At 44.7% G+C, this 15,539-nt stretch overlaps 1 protein-coding gene across 3 annotated transcripts in view; it reads right to left on the reverse strand.

Annotated features, from left to right (window-relative positions):
* FSTL4 (follistatin like 4) overlaps window positions 1–15,539 on the reverse strand; it is a 645,613-nt gene that overhangs the window by 297,932 nt on the left and 332,142 nt on the right. The gene's annotated exons all lie outside the window — the stretch shown is intronic.

A 15,539-nucleotide genomic window follows, 5' to 3' on the forward strand; every position in this document is an offset into this window, starting at 1 on the left:
ATGTGTAATTTAATTTCCTTAAAAGCTTTCCAAGTCTAGCATCACACAGGAGTGAGCTCACTGAATCACTGGTGTTGTTACTAATGTCCCCAGCAGACATTAACACAAACGGAGTCCTGCGCTGAAAGCACATTTTCAGGCATTTTTGGATATCCTGCCACCACAGAATACACTGAGAGGCAGTAATTTTTGAAGATAAAATGTTCAACAACTGCGTCTTTTGACCTTCTGGGATTCCTATCATAGGTTTTGATCAACTTAGTCTGAATTCCATGGGGCTAAACTGTATGTGAGAAAATGTGAAATCCTGATATCCCTTTGAAGAGTATGACCTGGTTTATGTGCACATTTATTTCAATATGACATTTAACAGAAGAGGGCCTGTGGCCCGGGTGTGCTGAGGAAACCCCGCTCCTGAGACTCTCACCTTGAGCACATCCCTCTGGCACACAGAGGGGCACCGGCTTGCATTTTAAGGCATCTTATGCAAATGTTTTTATCAACATGGAAAGTGAACTGTGTGTTTTCCTTCCTCTCAATCCTGGAACTGTAGGTTACGTTTAGTAAATATTTTGACTGGTGAGGCTGTAAACAACTGTCTCCATTCTGAGGCAGAAAAGCAAACATATCCATGTTGAATCAACAAAGCGGATGGGATGTCTCATGTCTTGTCCCATAGCATCCTGACAGGAATCCATCCGGGGAAACGAGCAGCCAGAAACATTTGTGAGAAGGATCCACACACATGCTAGCCCACTTACACACCGGTTGGGAATGAGGGATTGTAGCCAGTATGAGAGATGGGAGAATCGTGCTATTAATGAGCAAGGCCAAAACTCGACCAGGCCTCTGCGGGGAAGGGCTGGGTGGATAAGTGGGTAACTCTGAGCTCAGAGAAACTCTGCAACTCATCTCCAGGCCACTCACTGTGATTGCTGGAGAAAGGAGCAAGGATCCCACGATGTGGCAGGCACACCCAGGAGGCAGCTGTTCTAACAGTGGAAGAAGTAAGTGCCACAAATCATTCTCTAAAATTGGTTCATTTGCGGACATCTCTAAGGGGATGAGCGATAATCCAAATAACTGAGCTTAAGGCCTTTACATGACAAAATATGTTTTATTCTAAGTGTAAATATTTTGGATGGAGTTCCTGCTCTGGGGTATAACACACTTCCACACCTTCTACAAAGAGAGAACTGAAAAGTCTCTGGAGCTTGATGGGGAAGTTAGGATCATCACAGTGAACAGCAATGATGAGCCCATGCTCTGCTCCGGGGACCACTCCGGGGCCTAACGAGAAATTAGAGGGAGGTTTGAGGCAACCTTGTGTAAACTAGTGGCCTTCTGTCCACTTTTGCAATTTGCATTTGGGTGGCCACCTGTCCCCTGCACTGTGACCAAAATCTGTCTCTGAGAGCTCCTTTCCTGCATCTAAATGTCCATAGGCCATGAAATCAGATGATCAAGGTGGTTAGAATTATGTTTAAAGCAGGAGACACTAGGCTGTGAGGACATCAAGTGGGGTTCCTCCACTGAAGTAAGTAAGAGCATAAACGCAGGGACAGTGGCCTCAGCATGGGTAGCTTAGGGGTCTTTGGGGCTCCTGCTGGGTTTGAGGATGTTCAGAGGCAGAGGAGGGCAGATGTGTTGTGCTGCAGCTCTGACGCTGGGAGCAGAAGGACCAATGCCACCTGCAGCACATAACCTGAGATTCCATCCTCCGATCGTTCACTTCTGACTATGCCACTACACTCCACAGCATGTGCTCTGACATCCAAGCCCACCTACACCCAATTCCTTTAAGTAGAATGTATGCAACTCTGTAAAATAAAGCAGGGAGATGTAGCAAATGCTCTGTAGGTATGGAAACAGTCAAACAAACAAAGAAAGCAATCTTGTAGATAAAAATGCAGGGTGCTTTCCAAGATGTTAACTTGGAAGAGAAGAAACTGCCCAATTCCGTGGTCTGACACTCAGCTCTCTCTCTCTCATGCTAACCCCCTTCAGAGGGCAGGTGTGCAGACATCTAAGATTTAAGACAAAAAAACCACAGTTGACTTAGCCTCTCCACTAAACCTGGCCACATGGCCCTCCCACCAAAGGAATCAGGGAGCCCTGGGACCTGTGTTGTAGGCAAAGATCTGCATTCATGGCATGAGGCTTTGAATCAACCCAGGACCAGGAGAGGAGGCTCCTGCATTCCCTGACGTGGTATCTCTGGCCACAATACCCTCGCAGATGCCCCATGATGAATGTCATGGGAGGCTCCATAGGAAATGCGGACACGAGGACAGTGAGGGAGGTGATCCTGGCCTGCTCTTCCCCTGCCTTTGCCCCATTCTGAGACTGGGGCTGTCCCAGGAGGGAGGTTCTAAGGGACGCTCAAACCACTTGCAACCAGGCTGCACTGCCAGTCTTTCCCCACCAAGCCATCGTAAGCCACTGTCCCGCCCTCTCCCACTCAGCAGCTAGTCTTGCTCTTGTCCTCCCTGTACGTCCAGTTGGACTGCCCAAAGCCCTGACTCCCCCTTACTGCCTCCCGCCCATCTTCTGGTCTTAGCCAGCCCTACCCCAATCCTCTTCCCTCACTTGTCCCCTAGGGGTACCTGGGCTCCCCAAGAGCCTCTGCCCACCTCAGCCCAGGGTCTGCTGTTCCTTCATGGGTGCCGTGCTATAAACATACTTATACTGACAAAGAAACCAGAAATCTCTTCCCCTGGGCCCATCCTCACTGGCACTGCCCACGGTGCCCAGCTCTGAAGCAATGGGTCTACCACAGCATTAGCTGAGACCCCCACTTCCACATGAAGAAGGAGCCTTCCCTGGAGGGAGCAGGTCACTGAGCTCTAGGCTCAGGCACATCTGAGTTCCAATCCTGGTTCTGTCACTCAGGTGGCTGTGTGACCTTGAGATGGTCACCTTCCTTGAGTTTCCTCTCCCGATGGAAGAAGATGGATAATAAAGCCTATCTCATAGAGGGGTTGGGGAAATCAGAATAATATACATAGAGCACTGCTGAACACATAGTGCATGCTCAGTAAGTGGTAGCCATAGCTGCTGAGAGTATTTTTGCTGTTGTTTGCCTGAGGGGCAGGAGAAGCCTCTGCATCCCCTTCAGCCCAAGCTCAGGCAGCTCCTGAGGCTTGTTCCTTATCCTCACTCATCAGGCCTCTTTCTGGGACATCAGATCCTGAATCTGTGGGGGTCACGCAGGCAGACAGGGGTACTGGGGCTGAAACCCTCTGACCTGGCACTGGGGGATTGGAGTCTATGATGCATAGACATCCATCTCTGATAAACTTAGAATATGATTCAGACCCAGATGCATGAACTTGCTGCTTCCAGAGAAGCCCTGCCTACATTTTCCCCCTTGCTCTTTAAATGGCAAGCATAATAGAACACGGTTATACAACTAAAAAGAAAAATGTTTTCTAAGTAGGAGATGCTCTCAAGAAAGACCAGATTTAGGTGAAGGTTTACAGAAAGGAAATTCGCATGAAAGATTTTATCTAGAAGGTGCTTCTGCTGAACGCATACTAAGTGGTCAGAAGGGTTTCTGAAGGCCCAGCTCTGTGCACTGGGCTTGTCTGTGACTTGCGGGGTCTGTCTCCATGCATGGCACCCAGCCTACACACTGGTGGCACTGAGGGGCAGCTGGAGAGAGGGAAGCCTCTGCTATCCCATAATATTCTTTAGCACCCCCCCAATAAATACATACTGGGAGTTGGAGCAGTGGGTGTACTGTGCAAATGAGACTTCCAGATAAATCCTCAGGTGCCTCACCGCACGGTGACTGCCTCTCCAAGCTCTTCTCCTTAGAGCTTCCAGAGCTGCTGTTGGGGCTAATCCCACATTCTCTCATCTCTGTCTTCAGTGAAATAATGTTTGAGAAAGTTTCCTCTCCCCAAGACTCATTATTCATGGTCTTGCTTACTAAGAATTGCAACACAGAGGTGGATAGAAGCCAGGATTATTATTACAGACTCTATACATCTATACATTATTGATACGTCTATACATTTAAAGTTATCCTTTAAAAAATAATAGATCAGCCAGGCATGATGTCTCACACCTGTAATCCCAGCACTTTGGGAGGCTGAGGCAGGCAGATCACGAGAGGCTGGGAGTTCGAGATCAGCCTGGCTAACATGGTGAAACCCAGTCTCTACTAAATATACAAAATTAACTGGGCATGGTGGCACACACCTGCAATCTCAGCTATTCGGGAGGCTGAGGCGGGAGAATCACCTGAACCTGGGAGGTGGAGGTTGCAGTGAGCCAGGATTGCACCACCACACTCCAGCCTAGGTGACAGAGTGAGACTCAGTCTCCAAAAAAAAAAAAAGGATCATGCCTTTTAAGCCCTTTCCAACTTTCCAGAGTACTTTTCAGTTCTCATAAGTGACCATATTCTCCCCTCCCTACATATTCAATCCACACCAACTCACTCACTTTTTATTGAGCACCTGCTGGGGCCTGTCTTCTGTGAGGTCTGTTTTAGCAGAACTAGAGATGGGAGTAGGAACAGACACAGACCCTTGTCCTCAGGGAGGCTCTTGGGAATCAATGCCTGGAATCCCAAAGGCCACCATGTTTTCATCAGCAACAAATTACACACACACACACACACACACACACATTGCACTCGCAGGTAATTTTCTAAATATGTAACAACGGATATAGCATGAGCAGTGACCAATCAGAATGAATCCAAGTCATATATGCCCAGTTCGACCACACAGTTGCAGACTGAGTGAATAACAATTCTTCTCATGACCATGTTTCAAAAACTACACACAGGAGATCTGCAAAGCAGCTTTCACGCCATCCCTGTCTAATGTCCTGGGATGGCTGGTTTAGCTCAAATCTCTGGAGGGATCTGACCATTTGAACAGAGCCCTCTCATGGCTACACACATCACTGGGTCCTGGAAGTGCCTGGGAGATGTGGTAGGATTCCCCTAGTAAGTAACACAAGGGGAATACACACACACACACACACACACACACACACACACACACACACACACAGAGTGTGTGAGTGTGGATCTAAGCAAAAGTCAGACATCTATGAATCTGTGATCCGGGCTCTGAGGGTGGCGCGTCTAGTATCAGCTTGCACAAATTGGAATTACCAACTGCTTCCCCAAATCCAAACCCAAGAATCAACCTCCTAGGTTGCAGTTCAGCTGAAATGTGCTGTTCATAACAGTGACAACTCATATTTGCTTCAGTGAAGCACACTCTTACATGATTTTCAATTCCTTCTGTGACTGAGCACAGGCTCAACTGATTAATCCTGTGCTGGGGATTTGGGGCCTCTGACATGCTGCCAAGGCCATGCCACCCAAGCCTCTCTCTCATCCCTTTGAAGTCCTTGAGGCAGCAATGATCTCTACCCATCTCTACCTCCGACAGTACACATTTTAGCTTTATTATGAGATCCTGGAAAGGTAGAGCCTAAATCCTGCCATGTCATATTTTGCTTGACATTCATTTATTCGATCAACCAATATGTATTTAATGGCCCGCTCTGAGCACTCTCATCTTTACCACTAGACCAGACGGGCTGCAAACCATGCCGCATATTTCCTTTTTATCACCTCTCATGGGCCAGGAAAAGGCTGGGGATGTATAGGGCGCTTCATAAACACTTAGAGCATTGAATCAATATTTGCTCTGCTACAGGAGTAGAGCAGGAGTTCTAAGAGCATGTCCTGGGCCCCATTTCAAGTTGAAGGCTTACGTTGAGTCTTTTTATTGCCTGGGCCTGGCTCACCATCCTCCTCTTCCCTGAAGTCTTTACACTTTCATTTCTGTGAACTCATCTGATCCTTGAGTGTCCCTGGAAGAGAAACTGAGCTTTCATTTTGCAGACAAAGAAAGTAGTTAGCTGATTTGTCCCTGGTTTTGTATGCCAACGACCCTTAGCATTGAGACTGGAGCTCATGCTTACTGAACTCTGAACTTGGGCCTGTCACCCTGCCTGACTCTGCCTTTGAACAAAAGGTAATGAGATCTAAGGTATCGGTTCAATTCCTTCCTCAGAAGGAACGCCTCATCATCCTTTCTTCACAGAATGCCCCACAACACAAAGCTTTGGTTTCCATGGGTCCTGTTAGACCAGATATGCCTGGAACTTTACCTCGGCAACAATAAGACCCAGCCTCCTGACTCTAGGGGTGTCATGTCATCTTGGGGGTACAAAAATCAACACACATACCCACAAAATAATGAAGGTGTTAATTTTCCAAGCTTGCACTCTCAGGCTATTTTACAAAATAGTCATGTCAAAAAAAATTAAACTGATTAACATATTAACCTTTGAGAATGTAAAAGCTGATAAAATAGCCAAACCTATTTCCAAAAAAGATTTCCTATGACTAATTCTACCTCTAACCTTTCTGGATAGAGTAGATGATCATATAATAATTTAGCACAATTAAATTCTCCAAAGGAAATTGCCCAGAAGAGAACAAACTGGACACACAGTGGGAAGCCATTCAGTTTTCAACACTCTTGTAAAGCACAGAAACTGACAAGACTCCTGTTTGCTTCATGAAAAAAAAAAAAGTCATCTGCTTTAACTTTTGAATTTGCTTGACATCTGGAGGAAGGGGAGATAAAAGGGAGACTCTAAGTGCCGTGCAATTTTAGCCAGTTGCAGATGGAACATGGCTATCACTCATGGTGGGAAATGTGCTTCTGGGGAAGATGAAAAGAGAGGGCAGATCACAAGGTGGCCATAGAGATGACTCCAGCCTGAGCCTGAGTGTGCTAAAGAGTGAGGTACAGCAGACGGCTGGGGAAAGGAAGACATCTTCCAACCAAAACCATGTGAGAGAAAATGCAGAGCAATTTGTTATATGCCTTACAATTTTAAGAAAAAAAAAAAATAAAAAGCAAAAGCAAACTTTCCTTTGCTGGGGATTGGAGCACAAAATTGGTCATGTTTGAAGGATGGAAGAGTTCTTCATTTTCACTGTGTCTTGTACCAAATATCGTAATCAGCTCAGGCACTGAGTTTCTAGGAGTCTGTCCCTCTGGAAGGAGAACAGTGCAGTCCATGAGAAAGTCCTGTTTGTTAGGCAGACAATACTCAAAACTGGAGGAAGGAGGAACAGGTATAAACTGAGGTCATTCAAGGAGGCACCATGGATGACATGGGATCTATTTTTAGGTAAGTCAGCAGATGAGACAATTATTTAAAGGGCACCTTTGAAGACTATGGTAGGCAGAATTCTAAAAATGCCTCCTCACCACCCAATATTCCATGCCGTAACCCCTGGGACCAATGAATATGATGAAGTACCATTCATGTGATTATGTTCTATTTTGTTACATGGCACTGTTATGGGTTGAATTGGGTCCTTCAAAAAGGTATGTTGAAGTCCTAACTTCCAGTGCCTGTGAATAGGACTTTATTTGGAAATAAGGTCTTTGCAGATATAATCAAGTAAAGATGAGGCCATTGGTGTGGGCCCTAATCCAACATGATTACTGTCCTTATAAGAAGTGATAAGTTTGGACACAGACACCACAGAGAGGAGAACGCAGACACACAGGGAAGAGACCATGTGAAGACAGAGGCAGAGATGGGAATGATGCTGCCATAAGGCAAGGGACACCTGGGGCTTCCAGAAGCTGGAAGGGGCAGGAAGGCCTCCTTTCTTAGAGGCTTTGGAGGGAGCACAGCCCTGAGGACACTTTGATTTTAGACCACTAGCCTCCAGAACTGTGAGAGAATAAGTCATTCCCAATGCTTTAAGCCACCCATTTTGTGGTACTTTGTTACAGCAGCCCTAGGAGACTAACACAGGCACGGGTGATGCAAAGACAGAAAGGTTATCCAGGTAGGACTGATAGAATGACACAAGCCCTTCAAGCAGAGAGCTTTGTCTGGCTGGTGGCAGAGGAGAAGTCAAAGGGAATCAAATCCTGACAAGGATCTAACATGCCACTGCCAATTTGAAGATGGAGAGCCACACGGGAAGGGAAGAATGCAGGTGACTTTTAGGAGCAGAGAGCATCCCCTAGCTAATAGTCGGCAAAGAAAGCAGGTGATATGGTTTGGATCTGTGTCCCCACGAAATCTCCTGTGGAATTGCAATCCCCAGTGTTGGAGGTGGGGCCTGGTGGGAGGCAATTGGATCATGGGGGCAGAGTTCTCATGAATGGGTTAGCACCAACTCCCCAGTGCTGTTCATGTGAAATGAGTGAGTTATCATGAGGTCCAGTTGTTTTAAAAGCGTGTAGCACCTTCTCCCTCCCTCTCTTCCTCCCACTCTGGCCATGTGAGACGTGCCTGCTTTTCCTATGCCTTCTGCCATGACTGCAAGTTTCCTTCTCCTCAGAAGCAGAAGCCACTATGCTTCCTGTAGAGCCTGCAGAACCATGAGCCAATTAAACCTCTTTTCTTTATAAATTACTCAGTCTCAGGTATTTCTTTATAGCACTGTGAGAGTAGCCTAATACAGCAAGGATCTCAGTTCTACTCTCACACAGCACTGAATTCTTTCGATTGATTTTAACTTTGTAAGTCCCTAAGCAGAGAACCTCATTAAGCCCTCATGAGGACTCCTAATCTCCAGAAACTTTAAGACAATAAATTTGTGTTAAGTTGCTATGTTTGTGGTAATTTGTTACAGCAGCAATAGAAAACTTATACAGAGACTGAGGAGGTTCACTGTATCAATGTAAAGTCATTTGCTTACTCGCTCATTAGCAGAAAGGGCTGGTAATTTACGACAAAATTAGAGACTTTCCAGAGAGATATAGAAATGATCACAGATCATGCTTACTCCCAGATTCCAAGGGAAAGAACCCACAAAGTTGCACTAGAAGCAAAGATGAGTTGGTTAGAAACGGAGATATGATGGTAAATGTTAAACAACCAGCACTCCAGGAAGAGGGAAAAATAAATTTAAAACCTTGATTAGTAGAATTTGACAATTTCCATGTGTGATTGCTCCTAACATGGCCAGTATCAAACAAGCGGCTCACAAAATTCCTGCAAATTTAACAATAAGCTCGCATAAGCCAGTGTGCACTGGCTCCGGCACACCACCGGGATCATAAAGCAAATGGAGGAAGTTGTCTTGAGGGAATTCAGACAGGCTTGGTGTAAAAGAGACAAGGAGACTCAGCCTCAAATGCATCCACCTTCCCATGAAAGAGGTCAGTGGCTCTGGCTCTCCAGGCCCTGTGGTAGACCTTCTTCTCTTCAGATTCTACCTTCTTGCCCCAGACAATTTTAGCCACTTATGGCTTCTTTTGCCATCCACATGCTGATGACTCCCAAATCTCCATATTCAGCCCAGTTCCCTGTGATGCATTCCAGCCCAACATAGCCAACAGCCTATGTGCTCTCTCCTCTCCCATTGGCACATCTAACTTAACACGTCTAAACCAGAGTCCATCATTGTATTAGTCCATTCTCACACTGCTATGAAGAACTGCCAGAGACTGGATAAATTATAAAGGAAAGAGGTTTAATTGACTCATAGTTTCCCAGGGCTGGGGAGGCCTCAGGTAACTTACGATCATGGCAGAAGGGGAAGAAAACATGTCCTTCTTCACAATGGTGGGAGGAATGAGAAGAATGAGAGCCGAGCAAAGGGGGAAACCCCTTATAAAACCATCGGATCTCGTGAGAACTTACTATCACAAGAATATCATGGGGGAAACTGCCCCCATGATTCAATTACTTCCCATCGGGTCCCTCCTACCACACGTGGGGATTATGGGAACTACAATTCAAGATGAGATTTGGGTGGGAACACAGCCAAACCGTATCAATCATTTACCCCCAAAAGACCTGGTCCTCCCCCCGAAACTCCCTGTATTAGTGTTTAGTGCCTCTGTCCAGGTGAAAAAGGCAGGAATCTAGGAAGTATCCCTGAAGCTCCTTTTTCACTTTCCATATCCAGTAAGTCACCATATCTGATCAAAACGCTCCTCAAACATAGGGAAAAATAGGTAGAATCCATCTATTTCTCCTATGCCTACCATTGTACTATTCCAAACCACAAGTGTTGCTCTTCTAGGTTATTATAGTAGTTTCCTAACTCAGCCTCCATAATCCCCATTTTTTACAACAGAATAATCCTTTAAAACTATAAACCTCATCAAGTCACAACCCTGATTACAACCTATTGATGCTTACCACTGCTTTTAGGATCAACTCAACATTCTTCACTGGGACTCTGAGCGACCTAGTCACTGCCTACCTCTACTGCATTACCTTGTCCCATGTATCCCCTCACTCCCTAACCCATGCTGGCTCTTCTCAGCTCCCAGAGCTCTCGTCTTCCTCCCACTCCTATCCTGGGCTCTCTTTTTCTAGATAACTTTTACTCAGCTACCAGCTCTTGGCCTTCATGCCACTTCCTCAGGGAAGCCTTCCTGATTTCCCCAGACTAGTCAGGTGCCCACAGCCCTCTGTTCTTTTCCTTCATAGCTCTTATCACAATTGCAATCAAATAATTACTGGTACAATTATTTGTTTAATGCCTGCTCTCCCCCTGTGAATATGAACTCGAGTAGGGTCAGGACTCCTGTAAGAGACTGGTCATTGTTGTATTTTCACAGTTCAGATGTTGTCTTTATGCAGAGATGCAGAATATATTTTTTAAGTAACAATAAAGAAAAAATATAGTGCTAAGTGAAAAACCTCAGGTCATAGAATAGATTGTACAGGAAGATTTCAATTTGTACAAACAACATAAATGCATTAACAGAGAATAGGCTGGATATAAATCAGAATAATAACAAAGACTATTTCTAGGTGGTGGTATTACAAGTAATTTTTGCCTTCCTCTCTCTCTCTATTTATATATTCAATTTTTTCTAAAAAGGACAAGTTTTGTTTTTATAACCAGAAAAAAACTATAAAAGGTATTATTTTTAAACATAGCAGAACAGGCATTGTGTCTGAGGTTAAAGAACAGAGGAGGTTCCTGTCCTTCTCCATTCTCCAGTCATCAGCAAGTCACTGAATAAATGAGCACCCTCAAAGCACATCTGTGGCAGCAGCAGGTTTCACAGGCAGATGTCTGTGTCCCAGAAGGTGCCTGCCCCAGTAGGTGCCGAAGACAAGATTCTCTTCCTAAAGTCTGATTAGCCCAGAAGACAAACAGTAAGAGAAGAAAAGCCCATCCTTACAAGTCCTTCTTAATCAAAGCCCAGGAGATATTCTGAGCCATTAGACAGGATTTTTATTTCCACTGGGATGAAGATATTTTGGAATAAATTCTCTGTCTTATTCCTTAGAATGAATTCTTTAAAAGAAGGGATGCATTCCCTACAGCTGCCCAATTTTTTCACAAGTGGATGAGAAACTGCAACTCTATCACCTACGTGATAAATTAAGGTTCCTACTAGCAGATGAAGCAACGGAAGGTTGTTTATAACGTTACTGCTCCTGAGGCCTGGAATCACAGCATCAGGGTTACATATCAACATCTGGCAGAAACAAATCAGTTGCAAGATAAAATCCAATCAACTACACTTCTTCTCAATCCCCATCAAAAATACCCATCCTACTTGCTTCTGAATATATTCTTCAAGTAGGTTTATTTAAGGAAAGACAACTATAGAATCCCAGACAGTGGGCAAGTAGGCTGCCTGCCAATGCTGGCAAGGTGGGAGTCTCTTTTGGAGCTGGGGAAGGACCTTCACCTTCAGGAAGTCTTCATTGAATGGAAAATCATCAGAGCTGTCACCCAAACCCACCTCTTACAGAAAATGCTGGTAATTGTTTTGTAAAAAAATAACGACTGTCAATTCATTTGATTGTCCAGGGATTTGTGACATGGCAGAAATATGCTCTTACCTCGTTAGGAAGTTTTAGTCCATGTGTTTCCCTAACTCTAGCTAACACAGGATCCGTTGGAGCCAAAGGCAGGGGATTTGTTTGACAAGCTGAGGACCTTGTGCCAGGATAGCAGCGAATGCACAGCAGGATAATATTAAGCCATTATTAGCTTCCCAACCATTCACACAGATGAGTTGATTCTATCAACTTGTCACTCTGAAAAGTCAACAGCTCCACTCGAGAGGAATGAGAAAGGGGACAGATTTGGTCTGATGAGCAGGGAGGAAACAGAAGAAAGATTGGAAGCTCAAGTGGGTAGACAAGACAAGCAGGACGAATAAAAATTCTGGGTTTTTCCACTTATTCATATGGTTCATATAACCGCTACACAGTCTTAAGCTCCATTTGCTCACCTCTGTAACGGGGGAATAATTTGCCCAGCATTGTTATGAGAGCAGATGTGACACAAAGTATTTCATGAATTTGAGGGTTAAGGCAGGGCACAAACAAAAGTGAGAATTAGGTTGAAAACAAAGTTGTCTAAGCATCCATCTTGGCTCTCAGTGCTCAGATCAGTGCCTGGCAAAAGTGAGGTCATTCAATAAATATTTGTTGGATAAATATTTGTTGGAGGAATGACTGGCTGGCTGAATGAATTAACAAACAGCACGTATTTCTGAAAGATTCACCTGAAATAAATTAGACTGGGCCTTTAAAAAGCAGGCAATAGGCCAGGCGCGGTGGCTCAGGCCTGTAATCCTACCACTTTGGGAGGCCAAGGTGGATTACCTGAGGTCAGGAGTTCCAGACCAGCCTGGCCAACATGGCAAAACCCCATCTCTACTAAAACTACAAAAATTCGCTGGGCATGGTGGCACATGCCTGTAATCCCAGCTGCTTGGGAGGCTAAGGCAGGAGAATCGCTTGAACCCAGGAGGCAGAGATTGCAGTGAGCCGAGATCACGCCACTGCCCTTCAGCCTGGGTGACAGTGAGACTCTGTCTCAAAAAATAAAATAAATAAAATAAAATAAAAAGCAGGCAATATAAATATTAGTTTAGTTTAATTTTTTAAATAAAAATGAACAGAACAATGCAGCATGCTGTACCAGCTCTTGATAATCTCCCCAAGCAGGCTGAAAGTGTTTGAGCCCCTTGGGTCCTTTCTGCAGACGGATCAGAAAGATGCTTTGGAACTAGCTCAGAAACTACCTTCGCCATTTCCAGAGTCTACTGCTCTTTTTTGAAAGTAACTACGTACAGTCGGCCCTCTGGATCTGCGGGTTCCACATCTACAGATTCAAACAACGGAGACTTGAAAGCATTTTTTTTTTTTTTTTTTGATACTGAGTCTCGCTCTGTCGCCAGGCTGGAGTGCAGTGGCATGATCTCAGCTCACTGCAACCTCCACCTCCTGGGTTCAAGAGACTCTCCTGCCTCAGCCTCCCAAGTAGCTGGGATTACAGGCGCCCGACACCATGCCCGGCTAATTTTTGTATTTTTAGTAGAGATGGGGTTTCGCTATGTTGGCCAGGATGGTCTCAATATCCTGACCTCATGATCCGCCCTCCTCGGCCTCCTAAAGTGCTGGGGTTACAGGCATGAGCCACTGCGCCTGGCTGAAAGCATTAAAAAAATAATAATAATAAAATAAAATAAAAAATAACATAACCATAAAAAGTAGAATTTTTTAAAAATACAGTATAACAACTATTTATACAGCACACTGTGTGAGGTATTACAGTCACAGATTGCTTAATGATGGGATCTGTTCTGAGAAATGCATCATTGGGTATTTTGCCGGATGTCATCATTGTGCAAAATTGTATTATGAAAGGGAACAGCAATGAATTTTTCTTTTAGCTACACTGGTCCCTGGTTGCATGAGTGTGGGCCCTCTAATTATGTTACTAAGTCTCTTTGCACCTCACTTTCCTCATCTGTTAAATGGGGATTAGAATAGCACCACCCCCTCAAAGTGATGAAAATTAAATTGCAGGTAGGATTGGTGCCTGGCACTCAGCAAGCATGCAGTGAATGTTAGCTAACTGTTATTAACTATTATTCTGCCATGGGGATGGGTGGGAATCATCTTAAATTGCAAGGATTCTAAAATAGCCCTTTCCTTTGAGGTCAGGTCTCATGTGTCAAATGCTTGGCTTTCTATCTTGAAGGTCTGAGCTACCTTTGGGAGGGTCAACTATGGATAAGCTAAGTACTCCCCAGCATATTTTGCAGTAGGTTTGTTTACACCAGCATTGCCACAAACACGTGAATAAGGATTATGCTGTGATGTGATGACAGCTATGACATCACTATGTGACAGGAATTTTTCAGGTTCAGTGTAATCGTACAGGACTTCCACTGTACATGCGGTCTGTTGTCAACTGAAACATCATTATGCAGCACATGACTAAGTAATCCAGAGATCATTTAAAGTGTATGGAAGAACGTGTGTAGGTTATATGCAAAAACGACACCACTTTGTAGAAGGGACTTGAGCATCTGAGGATTTTAGTATCTGTGGAAGTCCTGAAACCACATGAGTGAGAAGCAAATAGCTTTAAAATAGCATTAACAGTATAATCTGTTTAATGCAAACTGCTAGGATGTATTTTGCCCAGATCCTGTTTAAGCAAGGCTTGATATTTTACATGCTCCTTAGAGTCTGTCTTGTTGGGCCTTTCATCTTACTCTTATATAAGGTAAGTGCTGATCTTGTTAATCATCTTACTCATATATAAGGTAAGTGTTAATCTTGTAATCCTTCCTTGTTTCTCAAGGAAGGAAAGCATACCTCTAGAAGCACATTAAAGGACTTGCTATTGGTTTACTCTGTAAACCAGGAACCTGACATAGTTGCTGGTTTCTGAGTAACCACAGCAGTACAACAAATGAAAGGAAATAAATCTAGTTTTGATTTTCAAAATGCAGGCCTATTCCAGCCACCCCATCACTTTCCCATCCCTGTGTTTAAGCCTCCTTCAGACCACAGCAGAGCTGCCCTGCTACACTGGGTGAGCCCTTCTCCTGCAGTTTTGCCCTGGCTACAGAGCTGCAACCCCCACACCTCATCTCCTCTGGGCTCTGGATTCTCAAGAGACAGAAACCTCCTCTTTTTTACAACACAGCAAAGACCTGGCCAACCTTCTCCGTCTCCTCTTTTTCATGGCCTGTCCAGATTTTTGCTTTTCTAATTTCCTCTTCTGATTCTTTATCAGAGAGGAGCCTTTGTGGTCCAGGGCCTGCCTCCTCCTTGCTCATTTCAGCCAGCACCCAGAATACCCTCACAGAGAAGCAAATCACTCAGCAAGCACCAATTTATCCCAAGAAAACCTTTTAAGGGGTTGAGACCAATGAGTGTTCACTCTCGCTATTTAAATGGTTATTGCTCTCAGCCCAGGAGTATGGCTGTTGGAGCTTTCACTTGTTTTCTCCTGGAAATGATTCATTTCATAACAACAGAGTCCTTCAGCGAAGGACTGCAATAGCTTCTGGGTTGCTAAACACTCTGAATGTTTCATTATGGATAATGGGCCTAACACGATAACATATGTAAGCAACCAGGAAAGGAGAACAGATACAAAGACAGCCATGAAGCTGGGCAGGCAGTGTGACAGCTCTGTCTCTCCTGCTGCCCTGGGCAGTGCCCACTGACCCAGAGCCTTGACCCTGAAATGCTTGCTCTGAACCTTGGCAGGAACCTCAGAAGTCATGCACGTGTTC

This window comes from Homo sapiens, chromosome 5 (assembly GCF_000001405.40).
Source record: "Homo sapiens chromosome 5, GRCh38.p14 Primary Assembly".
NCBI lineage: Eukaryota > Metazoa > Chordata > Mammalia > Primates > Hominidae > Homo > Homo sapiens.